Genomic DNA, 6,482 nt, shown 5'->3' with positions numbered 1-6,482 from the left:
GAGCTGTTATGCTCTCAGGGCATAAAGACATGAAGGCAATAAGGAGACTTTTCTCCTCAGAGGCCGCCCATGACTCCCCATGGGTGTCTCACAAAGGAGAGACCAACTCATCTAGCACCCAGAAATTCTTTCTCACACTTTGAGAGGCTGAGACGGGTGGATCACTTGAGGTCAGGAGTTTGAGACCAGCCTGGCGACCACAGCGAAACCCTGTCTCTACTAAAAATACAAAAATTAGTCAGGTGCAGTGGCATGTGCCAATAGTCGCAGCTACTGGGGAGGCTAAGGCAGGAAAACTGCTTGAACCTGGGAGGTGGAGGTTGCAGTGAGCCATGAGCATGCCACTGTGCTCAAGCCTCGGTGACACAGTAAGACTCTGTCTCAAAACAAACAAAAACTTAATTTAAAAAAAGAAAGTACACATAGAAAGTACACATAGCTGGGTGCAGTGGCTCACACCTGTAATCTCAGCACTTTGGGAAGCTGAGACAGGTGGATCACTTTGTAGCATCATTGCTGCCTCAAAAAGACAAAGGCATATGTTTATGTCAGTGTTGGTTTTATTTTTATTTTCTTTTTTCCTGGAGACTCGCTTATTTTTTATTTTATTATTATTGTTACTATTATGTTGGATACGGAGTTTCGCTCTTGTTGCCCAGGTTGGAGAGTAATGGTGCAATCTCGGCTCACCGCAACCTCTGTCTCCTGGGTTCAAGTAATTCTCCTTTTTTGGCCTCCCGAGTAGCTGGGATTACAGGAAAGCGCCACCACGCCTGGCTAACTTGCTATTTTTAGTAGAGACAGTTTCTCCGTGTTGGTCAGGCTGGTCTCGAAATCCCAACCTCAGGTGATTTGCCCACATCAGCCTCCATAAGTGCTAGGATTACAGGTGTGAGCCACTACGCCTGGCCTCTTTCCCCCCCCCCCCTTTTTTTTTTTTTTTTTTGAGACTGAGTCTCACTCTGTTGCCCAGGTTGGAGTGCAGTGGTACTATCCTGGCTCACTGCAACCTTAACCTACTGGGTTCAAGCAATTCTCCTGCCTCAGCCTCCTGAGTAGCTGGGATTACAGGTGTGCACCACCATGCATGGCTAGTTTTTTGTATGTTTAGTAGAGATACGTTTTCACCATACTGGCCAGGCTGGACTTGAACTCCTGACCTCGTGATCTGCCTGCCTCTGCCTCCCAAAGTGCTGGGATTACAGGTGTGAGCCACCACTCCCGGCATATTTATTTATTTTTTTAACTGATCAAAGAAGAATCAGACCCAGTCATCAGGGTGGTGATTCCCTAGGAAACAAGGGAGGGAGAAACTTGGAGGTGGCGGCAGGAGAAGTGGAGACGACACAGTTGCCCTGGGCTGTGTACAGGCACCATGAACTTTCTTCTTCCTTGAGGCCTCAGTTTTCAGAGTAACAGTGGCCACTAGGTGATGCCCAAAGTCTGCCAATGAGAGTTTCAGCCTGGAATGAATTGGCATCACCCGGAGGGGGAGAAGGGAGGGGAAGGGTAGAGGCTCCCACAGTACAGTGGGTCACCACGCTCTCCCAGGCAGTCCCCACAACTAATAGACCAGGGCCCCTGGGGGGACACAGTCTAAGTCCCCACCCATCGGATCATCTGGAACTTCCATCCAGAGACCGACTGGAAATTCTCTCAGTCAAGCTCCAAACCTAAAAGAATCACTGGCACACCCACCAGGACTAAGACAACTTTTAAAAGAATTGTTTCTGTGTTTTGGGTGCATCCGTGTATTTCTGTACAACAAAATTATTTATTTTAAACTTTATGAGTTTTTGGGACTCATCAGCTCTGAGTCCATGAGGCCAGAAGCTGATATCCTCAGTTCCTATTTAGAATGAATTTAAACAAGCCAGCCAAACACTCTGCCGTGAAACTCCTGGAAAGACAAGAGATTAAAAAAAGAAACAAACAAACAAACAAACAAAAAACAATGCTGTCAGGAGCAGTGGCTCACGCCTTTAATTCTCGAACATTGGGAGCCTGAGGGCGGGTGGATTCCTTGATCCCAGGCAATCAAGACCATACTTGGCAACATGGTGAAGCCTCGTCTCTACAAAAATACAAAAATTAGCTGGTTTCATAATATGGAGTCAAAATTAATAAATAAATAGATTGAAATTTAAAATTTAAAAAAATCTTAAATACCATATTCTGTTATTTTTGCTTCCTACCCTGAGAAGGACATAATATAGCTCTTGTCTGTCTGTCTGTTTGCTACAGGGTATCACTCTGTCTGTCACCCAGGCTGGAGTGCAGTGACACCATCACGGCTCACTGCAGCCTCAACCACCCCAGGGTTAGGTGATTCTCCCACTTTAGCCTCCTGAGTAGCTGAGACCACAGGCATGCACCTCAGGTTTTGGCCGTGTTGTCCAAGGCTGGTCTTGAGCTCCCAGGCTCAAGCGATCCTACCGCCTTGGCCTCCCAAAGTGTTGGGGTTGCAGGTGTAAGCCACCACACCCAGCCTGACTTAATACATCTGGTCTCACTATGTCCTGACCACATGCCCTTGAAGAACTCGAGTCAAGAGAGTCAGCAAGAGACTTTCAGCATTCTCTCCCGAAAGCAGTGAGGTGGATGGCGGCCAAGTATCCCACACTCCTGTGGTTTTAGGTGGCCACGCATAGAGGACAGATTTCAAATGTTTCCAGAGAGGAGTGAGCCACAGTCATTCGGGGTATCCAAGCTCGTGATGGTGTTTCTGACAGTGCCTTAAGGGCCAGAAAGGGCCGGGATCTGCAAAGGCCCATGTTCCAGGGTGGGGACAATGGAACCCAAGGTATAGGGAGTCAACAATCTGCACTGAGCTCCAGCCCTAAACCCCACCGTGGAGACTAAATCAGAAGGAACAGTCCCTTGTCCTACATGCCACATCTCTCCACTGAACTTGGGAGCAGATCTGTTTTCCAAACATGAGGTGACTCTTGGTTTGAAATGAATCACAAGGGGCCCAGCTTCTTGAGTCAGCAGGATAAAGAAGTCATTCTGTGGCATAGAATGATGTGTGCTTCAAATCTAGAATTCCCAGTTAAAACCAATGATGGTGGCCTGGCACAGTGGCTCATGACTGTCATCCCAGCACTTCGGGAGGCCGAGGCTGGAAGATCACGAAGTCAGGATTGGGAGATCAGCCTGGCCAACATGGTGAAGCCTTGTCTCTACTAAAAAAGACAAAAGTTAGCTAGATAGGGTGGCACGTGCCGGTAATTTCTGCTGATAGGGAGGCTGAGGCAGCAGAATTGCTTGAACCAGGGAGGCAGAGAGTGCAGCCAGCTGAGACAATGCCACCGCCTCGGCAACTGAACGAGACACCATTTACACAGGAGGATAAAAGAACAACAGGGTCCCTGACAGGATGGAGGTTCCCTAGGCAGCGAAGGAGAGAGGGAGGGGCCTCCAGAGGGGAAATAGAGAAAGTGGTTGTCCCAGGCTCTGTGAAGTTGGACAGGCCTCCCTCAGTGCCACCTCGACTTTCAATAACAGTGGTTACTAGGTGATGCTCTATTTATTAAACAACAACAACAACAACAACAAAAAACACATTTATTTTGAAAAATTGCAATTTAGGCCGGGTGCAGTGACTCACGCCTGTTATCCCAGCACTTTGGGGGGCTGGGGCAGACAGATCCCTGAAGGTCAGGAGTTCAACACCAGCCTGGGCAACATGGTGAAACTCTGTCTCTACTAAAAAAACAAAAGTTAGCTGAGTAGGGTGGCATACGCCTGTAATCCCAGCTACTTGGGAGGCTGAGGCAGGAGAATCGCTGGAACCAGGGAGGCAGAGATTGCAGCCAGCCGATACCACGCCACAGCCTGGGCTACAGAATGAGACTCTATTTAAAATAAATTAATAAATAAATAAGTGAATGAATGTATGTAAAAAGAAAAATGCAAGGAAATGGCGGAGCACGGGAAGGCTCCACTCATTCCTAAAGAACAGAGCAGAAAAACAGGACCATCAAGTTGAGACATGGGCCATTTTGAATATGTTGTCACCATGCTCAATTGGTACCAAAGAAGGGCAGGTTTCTGTGCCACCCGTCTGTCATCACCGCTCCTGTCAAGTATAATTGCAGGGTCACGACTACACAGAGATCTCTCAACCCACCGGATGCATCTGTACTTTTATGAGCCTGGTTGGGAGAATAAACAGGATATTTAGCAAAGTACTCATCGTGCGTTCTTTGGTCTCCCATGTCTCTTGTGAAACCAATTAAATTCATGGTCCGTTTTTTTTCTTTCCAGCCCTCGACCGTCCACAGAGTACCAAAATAAAAGAAGAGTGAATGCCTTTTATGCAACAAGGAGAAAAGAACAAAGCAAAAGTCTCAGAGGCTTGTGATACACAGGGGATACAGAATGAGGAGACTCTTCCAGAATCCACACGAAGACAGACAGTTGGAGGGATGGGAGGAAACGAATTGAGAAAAGACAGACAGCAAAAAAGATTAAAAAAAAATGTAAAGAAAAAGAGACAGAGATGTAAAGGGAAGAAAGATAACGAAGAAAATAGAAAGAGAAACAGAAAAAGAGAATGAGAAATGATAGAAGGGAGGAAGAAAAAGAGAGAGAGAAGAAAGAAAAAGAAAAGAAAGAAAGAAAAAGAAAGAAAGAGGAAGAAAAAAGGAAAAATAAAGGAAATGAAAAAGAGGGAAGCGCATCATGGTTCACACCTATAATCCCAACACTTTGGGAGGTTGAGGTGGAAGAATCACTTGAGCCCAGCAGTTTGAGACCAGCCCTGGCAACACAGTGAGACCACGTCTCTACTTTAAAAAAGAAAAAATTAAAAAGTTAGCCGGGCGTGATGGCAGGCGCCTGTAGTTTCAGCTCCTTTGGAGCCTGAGGTGGGAGCATCATTTGGGCTGGGGAGGTAGAGGCTGTGGTGGGCCTTGGTCAGGCAAATGCACTGCAGCCTGTTGCCCAGGCTCATCTCGAACTCCCAAACTTTAGCGAACCGCCTGCCTCAGCCTCCGAACTTGCACCTGCCATATCCAACGGCCCTGGGAGTATCAGTGATAGATTTTAGTAGACACGGTTGTTATGCCATATTGCCCAGGTTGGTCTCGAACTTGAACCCGGGAATATGAGGCTACAGTGAGCCAAGGTCGTGCCACTGCACTGCAGTCTGGGTGATAGACCAAGACTCCATCTCTAAATAACTAAATAATAAAAACAATAACAATTATAACAAACAATAATACAAATAAATAATAACAACAACAATAATAATAAACTAGTGGGAGTGAAAAATATAACAAGTAATTTAGATCACAATTAATTGTAGTAATTTCAAGGAGTTATTTCTTTAACCTGTCTCTCTTACTTTCTGAAACAGGGTCTTTCTCTGTCACTCAGGCTGGAGGGCAGTGGCGTGATCATGGCTCACTGCAGCTTCGACATCCCAGAATCAAGCTATTCCTGCAGTCTCAGCCACTTGGAAGACTGAGATGGCAAGATCACCTGACGGAGCCCAGGAAGGTCCAGGCTGCGATGAGCCGAGATCGCATTCTCACACGCCAACTTTTCTCAAAAAAAAAAAGGAAGTAAACGTAAAACAACAGCAACTTCAGTGTGTAGAAAGAGGAGTAAGAAAAGTAAAAGGAAAAATAAAAACAAAATGAAGAGCAACTGAAAATACTGTGGAAACAATTGGAGAGGAAGAAACAACGTAGTGAAGGAGCGACATCTAGTGGACAAAAGTGGTAGTGCTGCTGACCAGAGTTATCTGTTATTCCTTAGAAATCCCAGGTTGATGGTCAGTTCCAACGCTCGCCGCAGACGTCTGGGGGACCCGGCGCCAGCGGACGGAAGCGGTCGGACCCAGTTGGAATCTTATCACACAGAGCCGGCCCACCTTTACTGTCATCTAACTCCACCGACCTGCCCGCCGTTCCCCCACTGTCCGCTGGTTGAACCCGGCAGCGGAGAGAGAAGGAAAGGCACAAAGGCAGTGACTGGCTCATATCCCAGCCCCGCGCACCTGGGGCGGGGAGAGGGGCAGTGACCCCAAAGGCCACCACCGGGCATGCGTGAACATTACTGGGACAGAAACCTCAGGGGCACACCCTCCGACACCCACGCCTCAGCCATTCTCAACAGGCTCAATGAATCCGATCCCAGCCCCTGGAGGAGTTCCCAGAGGGGTGTGGGGAGGAGGTGGAATCGGAGAGGTGGAACTACGAGCAGGTGCGCCACCCCTACCTCGGCAATCCCCCGCGTGGCATCTTGGAAAGCCCGCCGGTGGGGACGGGCGCCTCCCAAATGCACAGCGGGCGCTGATGGGCTCTGGCGAGAGACACCCGCTGTGTGTTCCGGAGCTCCGGGGCGGGTGGGCATGAGCGGGCCAGGGAACGAGGTCCCCAGGGGCAACAGGAGGGAGGAAGAAAAGTACACGTCAAAGGTTGAATTACACAAGGACACGCCATATCACCGGGTCCCCCACACACGGGTGGAGA

General features: G+C 48.1%; 1 long non-coding RNA gene across 2 annotated transcripts, besides 1 other annotated feature; it reads right to left on the bottom strand.

Annotated features, from left to right (window-relative positions):
* Positions 1,406 to 1,700: a silencer, noted in NCBI's record as "tiled region #3539; K562 Repressive non-DNase unmatched - State 25:Art". NCBI's record gives its function as "represses a minimal TATA promoter and a strong SV40 promoter by Sharpr-MPRA in K562 cells {active_cell/tissue: K562}" and the evidence as "EXISTENCE:reporter gene assay evidence [ECO:0000049][PMID:27701403]".
* Positions 1,956 to 6,117, bottom strand: LOC107984469 (uncharacterized). 2 transcript variants are annotated; one of them, XR_007063272.1, is made up of 2 exons: positions 5,744 to 6,117; positions 1,956 to 2,074 (listed from the first exon to the last, which is right to left on the bottom strand). It is a non-coding gene; the product is annotated as an uncharacterized LOC107984469 (long non-coding RNA). The 2 variants fall into 2 exon arrangements; XR_001749076.2 differs by lacking the exon at positions 5,744 to 6,117 and adding an exon at positions 5,351 to 5,597.
* Positions 6,118 to 6,482: the final 365 nt, after the last annotated feature.

This window comes from Homo sapiens, chromosome 12 (genome assembly GCF_000001405.40).
Source record: "Homo sapiens chromosome 12, GRCh38.p14 Primary Assembly".
In the NCBI taxonomy this organism is placed as follows: Eukaryota; Metazoa; Chordata; class Mammalia; order Primates; family Hominidae; genus Homo; species Homo sapiens.
Note: the sequence above shows the minus strand (reverse complement) of the source record. Positions and strands in the feature narration are given on the sequence as shown.